At 35.6% G+C, this 16,347-nt stretch overlaps 1 long non-coding RNA gene across 1 annotated transcript in view, besides 1 other annotated feature; it reads right to left on the reverse strand.

The window, feature by feature from the left end:
• Positions 1-16,347, reverse strand: part of LOC105376634 (uncharacterized) — a 146,154-nt gene that overhangs the window by 58,696 nt on the left and 71,111 nt on the right. The gene's annotated exons all lie outside the window — the stretch shown is intronic.
• Positions 746-1,249: an enhancer, noted in NCBI's record as "H3K27ac-H3K4me1 hESC enhancer chr11:38272133-38272636 (GRCh37/hg19 assembly coordinates)". NCBI's record gives its function as "activates a minimal SCP1, AML or CMV promoter by ChIP-STARR-seq in primed H9 embryonic stem cells {active_cell/tissue: H9 hESC(primed)}" and the evidence as "EXISTENCE:reporter gene assay evidence [ECO:0000049][PMID:30033119]".

A 16,347-nucleotide genomic window follows, 5' to 3' on the forward strand; every position in this document is an offset into this window, starting at 1 on the left:
CATGCCTGCCAAGGGCAAGACAGGTGTGGAGCAGTGAGGAGTGTGTGAGCAAATGAGCACGGGGTCTGGCCACTGTGGACAACCAGGCACACTGGCTGCTGTGGAGGGGCAGGCAGCTCCAGGCACTGGCACAGGTGCCAGCTCCATGCAAGCCTGCAGCTGGATCAGACGCACCACAAGTGGCTTCTGCTATGGGCACCTGCATCAGGGTGAAGGGAACGTGGTGGTACCCAGAAGCTTTGAGATGGCAGAAACTGCAGACCCCCAAAGAGGGTTTCATAGTCTTAGCTCAGAGACTCTCTATATCTGGGCTCCCCAAAGGGCCACAGCTCTTCTCTTCTTCTTGTCGCCCACAGTGTGGCAAGTGGGGGTGGGGGTAGCGTGTTTCAGCCCTGTTTGTGTTACAACTCTACCAGTCCCCCATTTGGCAGGTCCTGAGTTCCTGTCCCATGTCTAGAAATAATCAGTATGTGGACAACTGGAGCATGAGCAAGGCAGAGAGGAGCTTTATTGACAGAACGGCTCTCCAGAGACTCAAATTGAGTAGCTCCTTTCTGCAGACAGGTTGTGCCGATGAGTGTCCAACTCTTGGTAGAGAGGAGACCCATAGTGGGTAGCTAGCTCCTTTCTGCAGGCAGGTCATCCTGACATGTCCAGGAGACGCAAAGTGGGAAGCTCTTTCCCACAACTGTTAGTCCCAATGTCTGTGTGAATCTGGCTGTGTCTGGGGTTTTTATGGGCTCAGAAGGGAGGACATGTGCTGATTGATTCATGGGCAGCCATGCGCAGGCCAGGAAGAAGTACCATAAATTCTCACTCTGGGCTGCAGACTCCACCCAGAACTGGCAGCCTGTCCCCTAGACTTCAGGTCATACTTACCTTGAAGATGGGGCTTCACTGGGCACCCTCTCTTCTCCACCCAGGAACCTGTCTGTCTCCCGTCACCATCAACATGCTGTACACAGCACCCAGGCTATTCATGCCAAGGAGCGCCTGCAGGCCCATGCCAAGCCACCCTCAGCACCCTGAGCATCCCTCCCATGATTGTCAGCACCCAAAGTCTGGAGAGGGTAAAGTCAGCAGGGGTCTAGCATGTCAGTGATACTCCAAGTGTGCACACACCTGGCTGGGTCATGACAGTGCCTGGGCTCAGCTTCCACTTTGCTCCAAAATCATAGCAGGTGCCTGGAGCAGGGAGAGGCCAGAGAGCAGGAGCAGAGCCCCTTCTCAGTGGCCCAGGAAGCCTGCCTTTCCCCACTTCTGAGCCTGCAGGAGCTTCCTGGGCCCCTAAGACTGCAGGGATGCCCGAGTCTGGAACTGCAGCTGGCTGGCTTCAGCTGTACCCGGGAGCATGGGGCTCCCATCCCACCAACTCAGTAGGCGGCAGGGTTCCCACGTGTTTCCAGACCCTGACTGCTCCATGGAGCACTCAGTCCTGGCTACACCTTCCTGCTGCATCTGGTGTCTTCATTACTGCTGCTCCAACTGGCTGCCACTGCCATCATTAATTTACAAATGCATATACACATTTAAGTTATACATATCTATGTAAATGGCCTTCATCCGTTTGTGCTGCTATTACAAAATACTTAATATGAGACTTGGTTATTTATAAAAAACAGGCATTTATATCTCACTGTTCTGGGGGCTAGGAAGTCCAAGATCAATGTGCCTGCAGGAGATTTGTTTATCTTGTAAAGGCTGCATTATTCTGAGGGGAGAAATGCTGTGCCTTCAAGAGGCAGGTGGAAGAACAAACTAAACTGAATGCTGCATGAAGCCTCATTTATAAGGGCTTTAATCTCATTCACAATGTAGGAGTGCTGTTGGCCTAATCATGTCTTAAAAGCCCCACCTCAGCGGGGCGCAGTGGCTCACGCACTTTGGAAGGCCGAGGCAGGTGGATCACAAGGCCAAGAGATCGAGACCATCCTGGCCAACATGGTGAAATCCCATCTACTAAAAATACAAAAAAAAAAAATTATCTGGGCATGGTGGCATGCACCTGTAGTCCCAGCTACTTGGGAGGCTGAGGCAGGAAAATCACTTGAACCTGGGAGGCAGAGGTTGCAGTGAGCTGAGATCGAGCCACTGCACTCCAGCCTGGTGACAGAAGCGAGACTCTGTCTCAAAACAAAACAAAACAAAACAAAAAAAACAAAAAGCCCCATCTCTTAATACTATCAATTTGGCAACACCTGAATTTTGAAGGGGACACATTCATATAATTAATATAATTATACATACATACATATGGGAAAAGTTCAAGGACAGCCACATACTAAAATGTGAAACAGCTTCGGTCTACATCTACAGAGTTGTATTTCTATATATTTTTATTAGTGATACACAATAAAATTGTTATTGGTTTCTAATTTAAAAGCTACTGATCCAAGACGCAATCCTGAACTTACATCATCTGTGTGACTGTGGTGACTATGCACTTTAGGGCCTCAGTTTCTTTCCTTGCACATAGACACTAATAATAGTGATAAGAATGATAATTACCCAATTGTGTAGATTGAATTAAGACACACACAGAAAACCTCTGGGCAAAAATGCTGGACACATGGGTGTTCAGCATTTTGTCATTGAATTAAAGTAATTACAATTTAATGTTAATGAAACTAAGGATAAAGAGTTACTTTAATATTATTTCAGCTGCTTTTACCTAGAACTGTGCTCATTTCCCTGATCCGTATTCTGCAACCTAAAGCTTCCTGTAATATACTGGCAACTAACCAAATGTGAAGTATAATTCATGAGAAAAATAATTGTCCTCTGCAAATTCAACCCTATCTGGTAGTTAAAATATCACATTATGTCTTCTTTTTTGCACACTTTCTATCAAAAGCATTGCTTCCATTTTACTGTGTTTAACCAAGTGTGGAAATATGAGTAACTATTTTAGCAGTTTTGGTCTTGCTTCATCACTCTGTCAGTTTTTTGTTCCAATCATATGACCTAATGGCAGCTGTCAGGTTAGAAGTGCTGAATGATTTCCCACCATAAAATGCCTTCTTAGAATCCCAAGCTGAAATGCTGTCAGCTGGGCTGATTATGAAACTTTTACAATTTTGACAAGATAAAAACTACATGATTTGTCCAACACAAATATATGAATGAAATAACTGGTTTGGCCAATCAGTTTTTACTCTCTCAGAAAACCTACTAGCCAAATGACAATCCATAGAAAATGAAGGCTAGTGCAGCCTCACGTTATTAATAATAAAATAAATAAAATTGAACATCAAACCAATTTTTATTTACAATGATAATTTAATCTACCATCTCTGAAAAGAGTAATGTAATGACAATATTTAATGTAATGAGCATGTGGTGAAACTGTCATTATGCTGCTATTGAATAATGTAAATTCATAAATTCTTTCTACAAAAAAATTTAGCAACATTTAATGATAGGAATACATACATAGAGAGAGACAGAGAGAGAGAGAAAGAGAGAGAGAAGAGAGAGACAGAGAAAGAATAAACCTCACAACTTATTATAAGGAGTTGTTTCACACAATTATGGGGGTTGAGAATTTCTGCTATCTATCATCTGCAAATTGGAGTCCCAGGAAAGCCAGTGGTTTAAATTCCAGTCTGAGTCTGAATGCTTGTGAAGCAGGATCACTGATAGTGTAAGTCTTAGTCCAAGGGCAGAAGGAGACTGATGTCTCAGGTTATGCATTCCAGCAGAGAGACAGAATTCTGCCTTCTTCCACTTTTTTGTTCTATCCCTGGCCTTCAAAAGATTAAAAGATGCCCACTTACCTTAGGGAGGGCAATCTATTTTACTTACTCCATCAATTAAAATGTTGATATCTCCTAAAAACACCCTCACAGGCACATTCAGAAATAATATTTAAAACAGATATCTGGGCATCTGTAGCCCAATGAAGATGGGCTTAACCATCACATTCCCCTATAAAATGGGCCAACATTTTCCTATAAGATTTCTTTATATCAGTTAAATGCAATAAATTAATATTCCATAATTTGGTAGAAATTAAATACATTCGTCCCTAACCTTGTAGCTTCCAAAAGAACCTTATATCAGATTTACCCTTCTGCCTCTAACAAGTAGAAACTTTGGAAAAGAATCAAATGCACTAACAACTCTTTGAAGACACTGGGAAGCAAACAAAGCAGGCAGAAACTGGAGGTGAAATGGCTCTTGAAACCAGGGGAACACAGAAATATACATTTATCTTACTTTTCCCTTAAAGGAACTCCACAGTCCACAAAGCTAATGGAGGGTAAGAGCTCAAGTAGGAGGACGCTAATTTAATGGGCTGAGGACTAAGAGGTCAGAGTTTCCACATGGTGGAAAATGTCAGGAGAATAATGAAAACTGTCAAAAAAATGTATAAAATTAAAATTCTAAACCTGAAAATATGCAATACCTGAAACCAACATTTTAATGAATGGGTTTAATAGGAAATTAGACAATGCATAGTAAAATATCTGTGTACCGAAGGACAAGGCAATAGAAATTATGCAAATGGATTTACAAATAGACTGAAAATGTGAAAGCGAGCTTTAACAGCATGTGGGAAAGGATTGAGCCATTTGACATATATCTAAATCAAATACTAGATGAACAGCAGAAAATGTCTGAGACAGAGGACAATATTTAAGAAATAGTGGCTAATAATTTTGTAAATTCATGAAAGTATTAAATCCATGAAGCCAAGAACCTCAGCAAACACCAACAGAATTAATACAGAGATAACTGCAGATAGACACTTGATAGCCAAAATGCTGAAATACAAAGATAAAGATAAAATCTTACAATCAGTCATAGTAAAATGACACTCTTCATGTAAGAGAAAAATGAAAAAATGTTAACAAAATTTTAATCAGAAAATTAATAAAAATAGTATTTGTAGATTATGAAATTGCATATATTGTAAAAATGCAAATGAATTATTTCTTTCTTTATATATCCCATTTAATAATTCCCTCGTATACTGAGTGCCTTATTATTTGCCTTGACCAAGTTTGTATAAGCAAATGTCACACATACAGAAGCTTGTAAAAGCACTTGCACATAGGGACTTAAATTCTTGCTATTCTTGGAACACGGCTGCCATGTGTCAAAGCTCAGTGTAGTCTACTGGATGATGTGCTATACGTATGAAGAGATAGATGGCCCAATTGCCCTTGTCATTGCAAGTGAAAAAATATCAACCACCAGATGTGAATAATGCCATCACAGACTATGGAGCCACTAGCTTACCTGTCACAGATCCAAAGATCTAATCAGTCAATATATAGAATCATAAGCCAAATATAGAACATATAGAATCATAAGCTAAATATAGAACATACAGGAATCATAAGCTAAATTGGCACTGATCAGCATGCAGTGTCTGTAAAAGCAATGAAAAATACTGTTGCCAAAGACTGGAAAAAAGGCAAGCACAGCATTAGCAGAGGGTGGAAAACTCAGAAAGAAACTGATACAGTATGCTGGAAACATAACCTGTGTCATATAATAGTGTAAATATATTGGCAAAATTCTTGCCTTCGTGAATTTTGAAGACAGAATATGTATTTAATGTACTTATATATCTTGCTAAGATGATTTTCAGGTAGAATGTTGAAAGTGCCAGAGACAGTACTTGCTAGGTTAGAAAATAAAATGGTTTCTTTTCCCAGGTCTTCCCAATGAGACTGCTTCCTGCCTTAGAAATTTGGAAGCCAAATAGCATTTTGAAAATTTAAAAAGTCTCAGGTTCTTTGCATCAACTGCTAGTGGTGCTCTGCTGATATGTCCCCCTTAAAATACAGGGCTTCTATTTATAAAAAAATAGTTAAGTCCATTTGACAAAAGTTTACCCTATGATTCTCTTTGAGACAAGTATCTCTATGTTAGTCAACATGACAGGCTATTGTGAGAATGCTCTTAATATTCTTAGATGTGTTTTTTGGGTCACTGAGTTTCTACCGTGCATAGCCTTAAATATTTAGAGTTCTTAAGAAAGAATCTTATCTCTACATCCTTCATGTGATCTTTGGGATTAGATTTCTTTCCATTTTGAAACTCTTAAATACCAGTGTTCATTTTCAACACTTGTTAATTTAGGACCTTTTATTGCTTGGAAGCTTTGTTCCTTTGGAGGAGGAGGGTATTTAGAAACCAGTACCTACATGCTGTATATGCTCATTGCAGCTAGTGTGTCATTTCTTCAGAGCTTTTTCAGTAGTAGAACAATTCAATTTGTATTTCAGAAACATTACACTAGCAGTACTGTCCTGGGCATACAGAATGCACAGAGTATGTCAATTACATAAAAATAATTATGACCAAAACAAAAGTCTTCTTGTACTAAGTTCCACATATCTGCCATGTGTACCTGTGAACTGGACATAGTTTATACATATTTAAATTTCCTCAGTATGAATAAATGTTTAAAAATAATATGGTATTGAAGTAGGTGGAGGATAATGATAGAAAAATAGAAATAAAAGTAAGGCAGTATGACCCTGGGGTCTACTCAAATGTCTTTACAGAAATCAAATTATCAAGGAGGAAATTCTACAAAAGCAGCTGTAGGATTTAAATGACTAATTGAAAATAAAGGGGCCATTTCAACAGCAAAACTGTAACCAAAAGTGTTTGTGCTATCTTTGAAAATAGAGGCATCATGTAAATCACACACACACACACACACACAGAAACACACACACACTCTACTTTTTATGAATTGGAGGAGTTATGAATAGCTCTACATGCAAAACAACAAGGTGGATAGCTAGGTCAAAGCTGATAATCCCCTGTGGAATGCTAAGAAAATAGTTTTCAGGTAACATTCTGCCTATTGAGTTGGTTGCTAATGCAAATTTGTCCTGCAGAATCAGTTGTTGAATGTCAAAAAGCTAACATGGTAAAACACAGCTGCTTTTTTTACCTTTTGTAATTGAGATTGTTTGTAGACTTCCCTAAATTATATGGCAGACAATAAAAATTGATTCTAAGTAAAGTCATTATCCTTTTAAATGAGTTACATAGCTCAGACATTAAGATATTTGCGAGACAAAGTGATTTCCAAAAAGTATTGATTTTTAACTAAATAAAGCTAAAGGAGAATCAGCATATAACTTCAAAATTGCAATATGCTATCATCTCTGTAGAAATGAGTAAGTTCAAAATGTATATAAAATTTTCTTCTTTATAATTATTTTTGCTAATTATTGAGCACTTTAAAAAATTGCCATAATATAAAATAACGTATACTTACTAATCCATGCTAAGAAATGTAACCATGTAATGTATTTACCTACAGATAAAGTCATCTTGATTTGTGTATATATTATACATAAATAATAAATGTTATACAAATGAGCACAACTAGACTTTCAAGGAACACGTAATTCCATTGATGCATATGCTATTTCTTAGTGGGTTGCCTCCTTTCTAATCCCTTTGTTGAGCTGCAAACAAACCTTCCCACCACCTGTGCAAACTTTTCCATGGAGAGAAGATAGATAATAGAAAGACAGACAAACAGATAGTTAGATAGATAGATGATAGGTAGATGATTGATTAGATAGTTAGATAGATAGATGATAGGTAGATGATTGATTAGATAGATAGATAGATAGATAGATAGACAGATAGATAGATGATAGGTAGGATTGATTCACCTCTGCTTCAGAGACACTATTTTTATCTTCCAAGGCAAATATCCTTGAAAAGATAGTCCAGAACAAACAACTGTCAGTACCTCTGATTGCTAGAAATACAGAAATGAAAGCTATCCATGAGAATTGCCTCCCAACATGTTAGGAAGGACTTTCAAAGTGGTGATGACTGGTTTCACTATAATATCAAACAAGAGGTTCTTTTACAGAAATTCTCTTCATCTAAAATAAAAAATTTGCTCAAATATTATTTTTCCTTTCTAGAATTATTTTTTAATGTTGAGGCCATTAATCTTATTTGAAATATAGCCTAATGCTATATCAGATTAATACAAAATTAAATTAACTTAAAAATAATACAATTTTTTCTGAGAATCTTCTTAAAAATTATTTCTGTATTTTAAATAATGCATAATTGTACATATTTATAGCATACAGTGTGATGTTTCAATATATGTATACATTGTGTAATAATCAAATCAGGATGTTTAGTATATCCATCACCTCAAACATTTATTATTTCTTTGTGGTGAGAACACTCAAATTCTCTCTCCTGGCTACTTTGAAATATATAATATAATATTGTTAACTATAGTCACCCCACTGTGTAGTAGAACACTAAAATATTTTCCTCCTAATTTTAATTTTGTACCCGTTGACCAATCTCTCCCTATGTGTGCCTCTTTTCTTCCCTTTCCAGGCTCTGCTAATCACTATTCTAACTCTACTCTATGAGATTAATTTCTTTAGATTCCACACAAGAATGAGATCGTGCGTTTTTGGTTTTGCTGTGCCTGGCTTATTTATTTAACATAACATCCTCCAGGTTCATTCATGTTGCAAATATGACGAGATTTCATTTTTTATGGCTAAACAGTACTCCCTTGTGTATATTCACCATATTTTTGTTATCCATTTATCTGTTGATGGACACTTAGGTTTAGTCCATATCTTGGCTATTGCAAATACAACCACAAGAAACATGGGGTGGAAGACATCTCTTTTACATACTAATTGTATTTCCTTTGGATATATACCCAGTAATGGAATTGCTAGATCATATGTTAGTTCTATTATTAGTTTTTTGAGCAACTACTGTTTTTCAAAATGATGGTAGTAACTTACAGTCCTGCCAAGAGTATTGTAGTGTTCCTCTTTCTCCACATTCATGCCAGCATTTGTTTTTGTGTATATTTTTCTATCCTTTTAACAATAGTTATTCTAATTAGGGTGAGGTGCTATCACACTGTGGTTTTAATTAGCATTTTCCCAATGACTAGTGATGTCATGCATTTTTTCATGTACCTGTTTGTTGGCCATTTGTATTTCTTCTTTTGAGAAATGTCTATTCAGTTCTTTGGAACATTTTTAAATTGGATTCTTTGTTTTTGCTATTGAGTTATTTCAGTTCCTTATATATTTGGGGTTAATAAGCATAGCTTGCAAATATTTTCTTCTATTCTACAGTTTATATATTCATTCTACTGACTGTTTCCTTTGCTGTACAGAAGCTTTCTTAGTTTGATGTAATTTTATTTGTCTAATTTTGTTTTTGTTGTCTGTGGTTTTGAAATCTTATCTGAAAAAGTCATTGCACAGAGCAATGCCATTAAGCATTTCCCCTATGATTTCTTCAAGAGGTTTTATTATTTTGGATCTTACATTTAAGTCTTTAATCTGCTTTGAGTTTTTTTTTTTGTATATGGCTAGAGATGGGGTCTAGCTTAATCACACAGCATGTGAATATACAGTTCTTCTAGCATCCTTTAATGAAGAGACTGACAATTTCCCAATGTGTATTATTAACACCTTTGTTGAGAATCAGGTGACTTTAAGTGTATGGATTTATTTCTGTGACACAATGTTTCATTGGCCCATGTGTCTGTATGCCAGTATCATGCTCTTTGGTTACTATGGCTTTGTAGTATATTTTGAAGTCAGTTAGAGTGACACCACCAGTTCTGTTCTTTCTGCTCAAAATGTATTTGGCTATTTGGAGTCTTTTGTGGATCTACACAAATTTTAAGGTGTTTTTTTTCCTATATCTTTGAAGAATATCCCTGATATTTTGGTAGGGATTACATTGAATTTGTAGCCTTATTGGGTAATATGAACATTTTAATAATGATAATTCTTCCAATCAATGAACATGAGCTATCTTTCCATTTATTTGTGTTTTCTTCAATGTCTTTCACTATGTTTTATAGGTTTCATTGTAGACATCTCTTACTCTCTTGGTTAAATTTATTCTTAGGCATCTTACTTTTTTTTCTATTGTAAATAAGATTGCTTTCTTGATTTCTTTTTCTGATAGTTTGTTTTCAGTATGTAGAAATGCTACTGATTTTTGTATGTTAATTTCATACCCCATAAGTTTACTAGATATACTCAGTTATAGAAGTTACTTTGTGGAGTTTTTAATGTTTTCAGATATAAGATTATGTCATCTAAAATAGAGATAACTTGACTTCCTCCTTTTAAATTTAGATGGCATTTATTTACTTTTTTGCCTAATTTTTCTGGCTAGGATTTCCAGTACTATCTTGAATTAAAGCGGTAGAAGTGGACATTCTTGTCTTGTTCCAGACCTTAAAAAAAATGTTTTTAACTTTTCCCCATTCAGCGCTGGGTTTGTCATATATGGCTTTCCATGTATTGAGGTTCATTCCTTCTATACCTTGTTTGATGAAAGTTTTTATCATGAATGGATGCTGAAATTTATTAATTGATTTTTCTGTATCTATTGATATGATTTTTGCCCTTAATTAGATTAATGTGATGTGTTACATGTATTGATTTGCATATGATGAACTATTCTTATATCCCTGGGATGAATTTCACATAATCATGGTAAATGATCTTTTTAATGTGCTATTGAATGTGGTTTGCTAGTGTACTGTGGAGGATTTCGGCAAATAATTCATTGGAAATATTGAGCTGAAGTTTTGTTGTTGTTGTTGTTGTTGTTGTGGTCTTCTCTGGTTTTGATATCAAGATAATTTTGGCTCCATAAATGAGTTTGGAAGAATTCTCTTCTCTTCAATTTTTTATAACAGTTTGATAAATACAGATATTCATTATTCTCTAAGTGTCTGGTACAATTCAGAAGTAAAGCCCTCAGGTCCTGAGCTTTTCTTTGGTGAAAGACTTTTTATTATTGATTTAATTTAATTACTTATTACTGGTCTGTTCAGCATTTCTAATTCTTCATGATTCAATTTAGTGGGTTGTATACGTCTGGGAATTTATCCATTTCTTCTAGGTTCTCAATTTGTTGGCATATAGTTGTTCATAATAGTGTCCTACAATCCTTTGTAATTCTGTGATACCAGATGTAATATAACCATTTTCATTCTTATTTTTAAAATTTTTTTAGATGGAGTTTCACTCTTGTTGCCCAGGGTGGAGTGCAATGGCACAATATTGGCTCACTACGACTTCCGCCTCCCAGGTTCAAGCGATTCTCCTCCCTCAGCCTCCCAAGTAGCTGGGAATACAGGCCACCACATGTGCTGCCATGCCCGGCTAATTTTGTATTTTTAGTAGAAACTGGGTTTCTCCATGTTGGTCAGGCTGGTCTTGAACTCCCGATCTGAGGTGATCTGCCCACCTTGGCATCCCAAAGTGCTAGAATTACAGGTGTGAGCCACCGTGTCCAGCCTTCATTCTGATTTTATTTGTGTCTTCTTTTTTTCCAGTAGTCTAGCTAAAGGTTTGTCAATTTTATCTTTTCAAAAAGTAGCTCTTTGTTTTGTTGATTTCTTAGTTTTGTTTCTTTAGTTTATGTTTTTTTATGCTCTGGTATTATTTCTTCTATTTGTGTTTAGTTTGTTCTTTTTTGTTAGTTCCTTGAGGTGCAATATTAGGTATTTTATTTGAGATCCTTCTTCTTTTGTAGACATTTATTGCTTGATATTATTTGGATCTTTGTCCCTTCCAAATCTCATGTAAAAATTTGATCCCCAATGTTGAAGATGGGACCCAGCAAGAGGTGATGTGTCTTGGGGACAGGTCTCTCATGAAAAGGTTGGTGCTATTCTCCTAAGATTGAGTGAGTTTTTACTCTTAGTTCCCTTGAGATTTAGCTGTTAAAAAGGGTCTGGCACTTTCATATTCTCTCTCTTCCTGCCTTGCCATGTGATATGCAGCTCCTTATGCATCTCCTTTTCATTTTTCACCATTAGTGGAAGTGCCCTGAATTCCTCACCATAAGCAGATGCTGATGCCATGGTTTTTGTACATCCCACAGAACAATGAGTTAAATGAAACTTTTTTCTTTATAAATAATTCACCCTACAGTATTCCTTTATAGCAAAGCAAATGGACTAAGGCATTGCCGTAAACTTTCCTCTAAGAACTGCTTTTGCTGTATCTCATAGGTTTTGTTATGTTGTATTACCATTTTTATTTGTCTCAAAAAACTGTATTTTTATGCCCATTAATCATTGCCTCTTCCCCTTTTTATCACCTACCTCCCCACTACCCTTTCTAGCCTCCGGTAATCATTATTCTACTTTCTAACTTCATGAGTTAAATTTTTTTGTTTGCACATATGAGTGAGAATATGTGATACTTGTCTTTCAGTGCCTGGCTTATTTCACTTAAATAATGTCCTCTGATTCCATCTATTCTGTTGCAAATGACAGAATCTCATTGTTTTTTATAGCAGTATAATATTTTATTAGGTATATGTACCACATTTTCTTAATTCATTTATTCATTAACATACACTTAAGTTGATTCCATATCTTGTTAATGGCGCTGAAATAAACACGGGAGTACTGATATCTCTTTGATATATTGATTTCCTTTCTTTTGGATATATACCCAGCATTGATATTTCTAGATCATATGGTAGTTTGATTTTTTTGTTTTTGAAAACCTACATGCTCTTCTCCATAGTGGCTGTACTAGTTTATATTCCTACCTACAGTATATGAGGGGTCCCTTTTCTTCGCATCCTCATCAGCCTCTGTTATTCCCTGTCTTTTGGACAAAAGCCATTTTAATTTGGACAAGATGATATCTCACCGTGGTTTTAATTTTCATTTCTCTAATAATTAGTGATGTTGAGCATTTGTATATATCTGTTTGCTATTTGCATGTTTTCTTTTGAAAAATGTGTTTTTAGAGCTTTTGTCCATTTTTAATTAACTTATTTTTTCTATTGAGTTGTTCAAACTTCTTATATATTGTGGTTCTTAATCCCTTTTCAGATAGGTAGTTTGGAAATATTTTCTCTCATTTGGAGGTTTGTCTCTTCTCCTTATTGATTGTGTCCTTTGCTGTGCAGTTTTCTAGCTTGATATGATCCCATTTGTTCATTTTTGCTTTGGTTGCATGTGTTTTTGAGTTCTTATTAAATGAATCTTTGCCCAGACCAATGTCCTGGAATGTTTCTCAAACTCCATGTCTTTTAATTGGAGAATTTAATCCAATTATATTTAGGGTAATTATTAGTAGGTAAGGACTTACTACTGCCATTTTGTTTATTCTTTTCTAGTTGTTTTACAGATTCTTTCTTCTTTACTTTGCTCTTACTATCTACCTTTGAGATTAAATGATTTTCTCTAGTAGTATGCTTTAATTTGTTTCTTTTCAAGTGCATCTTTTATAGCCTTTTTTTGGTGGGTTACCATAAGGTTTTCAAAAAGTAAGTTACAGTTATAGCAGGTTATTTTAACTGACAAGAACTTAACTTTGATTACAAAAAATAAGAAAAAAATGATTGGGAAAAAAGTCTACTCTATCTTTTCTTCCTGTCTACATTTTGCATTTTTAATGTCACAATTTATATCTTTTTATATTGTATATTTCCTAACAAATTATTGTAATTATTTTAATGGTTTTGTATTTTAAACTGAAAAGTCTTCATTTCTCCATTTCTGAAGAACAGATTTGCTGGATATAGTAATATTCTTTATTGGTAGTTTTGTGCTTTTTTATTTTCTAGACTGAATATGTTTTCCTACTCTCTCCTTATCCGTAGAATTTCTGCTGAGAATTCTGATGTTAGATGTATTGGTACCATCTTATATGTTATTTGTTTGTTTTCTCTTGCTGTTTTCAGGATTGACTTTTCATCTTTCATCTTTAACAGTTTAATTATAATACATCAAGGGGAAGTTTTATTTGATTGGAATCTAATTAGAGACATAGGCTTCCTGTATCTGGATATTTATATCTTCCTCTAGGTTTGGGAATTTTTTCCTTTATTATTTCTTGAAATAAATTTTCTATCCTTTTTCCTTTTTCAACACACTCTTGAACATCAATTACTTATTCATTTGCACTTTTGACTTTGTCTCATAAATCTCATAAGTTTTTTTCATTACTTTGTATTCATTTTTCTTTTTTCTCCTTTGAGTGTATATTTTCAATTAACCTACCTTCAAGTTCACAGATTGTTTCCTCTACTTGATCAATTCTGTTGTTTATGCTCTCTTTTGAAATTTATTTTATTGTATTTTTCAGTTCCAGGATTTCTGTTTAATTTTTTTTTAAAATATGTCAATCTTTCTGTTAAATTTATCTGATAAATATCTCAAATATTTCCTTGTATTTTGAATGAAATTTGCTGGGCCTCCTTAAAGCTGCTATTTTGAATTATTCATCAAGATGCTCTCTCACTGCCCATTCAGGGTCAGTCACTGACAACTTCTTTTGTCTACTTAGTGACATCATGTTTTTAAAATTAATCTGGATCATTGTGGCAGTGTGTCAATGTCTGCACATTGACATAGGCACCTAATCCAGTCTTCCTACTCTGGCTTTGTTGGGATCTTTCTTCAGCAGTAAACCTGTTCAGACATTTCATGCAAGTTGGTTGATTAGGCATTCAAGCCTGCAAATTGCTTCAGCCATTGCAGCAGTAGGGGATGTCCTAAGCTGAGGACTACTGCGCTGGAATCCTTTGGCCACTGAGGCTGACAAAGCACTGGGTTAGACACAAAGTTTATGACTACAGAGAACAACGTAGCACTGTGGCACACCTAAGGCCTGCAGCTGCTGCAGCCTGTTCTCTACCATGGCTTATGCAAGGCTTTAGGTTGCTGTAGTTAACCAGCAGTGATGTGTGATAGATCTCCAGTCCATCTAGCCAGGGCCATGGATTCCTGTTTGGTATTAGGCCAGGTCAAGATCCCCCAAATGTGGATACCTTCTGGTGTCAGGGGCCGTGGAATCTGCTCATTGCTGGGTTTCAGTGGGGTGGGTACAGTACTTAGTTGCAAGGCAAAGTCCTATACTTACTTTATTTTGCTTCCTTTAAGCAAATGGTATCTTCCTTTGTGCTATGCTGCCTATGGTTGTGGAAGAAGTGATATGGTTAATGTAAAACTCTTCTTTAGACCCTCTTTAATGAATCTTTTCTTATTATGCTAACTCCAGGAAATGGGATCTCTCACTGGGTTTTTTGGAGCTCTTGTGAAGGTATTTTATGAATGGTTATTCAAATTGATGTTATTTGTTTGTTTTATCTTGTTGTTTTCAGGACTGACTTTTTGTTTTGATCTTTAACAGTTTATTTATAATATATCAAGAGGTAGTTTTATTTGGTTTGAACCTAGGCCTTCTTTGGGGGAGCAATCTTTGGAGTGTTCTCCTCTAACATATTGCCCCTCCTCTTTATCTTCTTCTTTTTTTTTAAGTATGTACTTTTGCTGGCAAATAGGCAATTTAACCCAAAGCATGGCTTAACTCTGAAGACCTCTGAGCATAATCTAGAAATGAAGGAATTAAGGGACTAGAGGCACACACTGGGTAAGAAGATATGGAGACTAATGCCAAACTGCAAAGATGCATGACAACAACCTTACTTTATTCAGATAAAATTATGAAATGTTTAGCCTAAGTTGCTATACATATTATTTTCCATCAGGTTGTTAAGGAGCATTAGGCGAAGTTACCTATGTCAAATTTAGCTTGGTTAAAACAGCCTTAGCCATTCAATTCAAATGCTCAGAGTTGGAGCCAAAATAAAATTAGACAATTTCTTCTTGACCTAAGTTTTAATTATATAAAACTATTAAAAAAAGAAGAATTTAAGCCTAGTTCAAGTAGAAAATAACAAAATACTTAATAGGAGCAGACATCAATAAAATTGAATTCAAAAAAAATCATAAAGAACATTAACAAAACCTAAAACGGTTATTGAAAAAGATGAATAAAATTGGTATATCTATACAGAAATTAATCAATTTGACAAAAAGAAGAGAGAAGAAACAAATTGTCTACATCAAAACAAAGAAGGGACATCACTATTGATCCTGTGGACTTTAAAAGGTTAAGAAAGGAATGATTTCCACAAATATATGCCCATATATTTGTAATGTAGATGAAATAAAAATTCTTGAAGGACACAAACTATAAAAACTCACACAAGGAAACATCAATAACCAGGAAGATCTATATGTATTATAGCAATTGAATGAATAATTATAACTCTCCAATAAATAAAACAACAACTCCAAATTTCAGTGGTAAATTCTACAAAATATTTAAATAAGAAATGATACCTATTCTCCAAATTAACTCCCAAAACACACAAGCAGAAATAGCACTTTCTACTTATTCTTATAAGGCCAGCATTATCCTATCCAAAACTAGATAAAGGTATTACAAAAGAGGAAATCTATAGTGCAATGGCTCTAATAAATATATATGCAAAAATGTTCAACCAATATTAACATATCAA

Source organism: Homo sapiens, chromosome 11 (assembly GCF_000001405.40).
Source record: "Homo sapiens chromosome 11, GRCh38.p14 Primary Assembly".
NCBI lineage: Eukaryota > Metazoa > Chordata > Mammalia > Primates > Hominidae > Homo > Homo sapiens.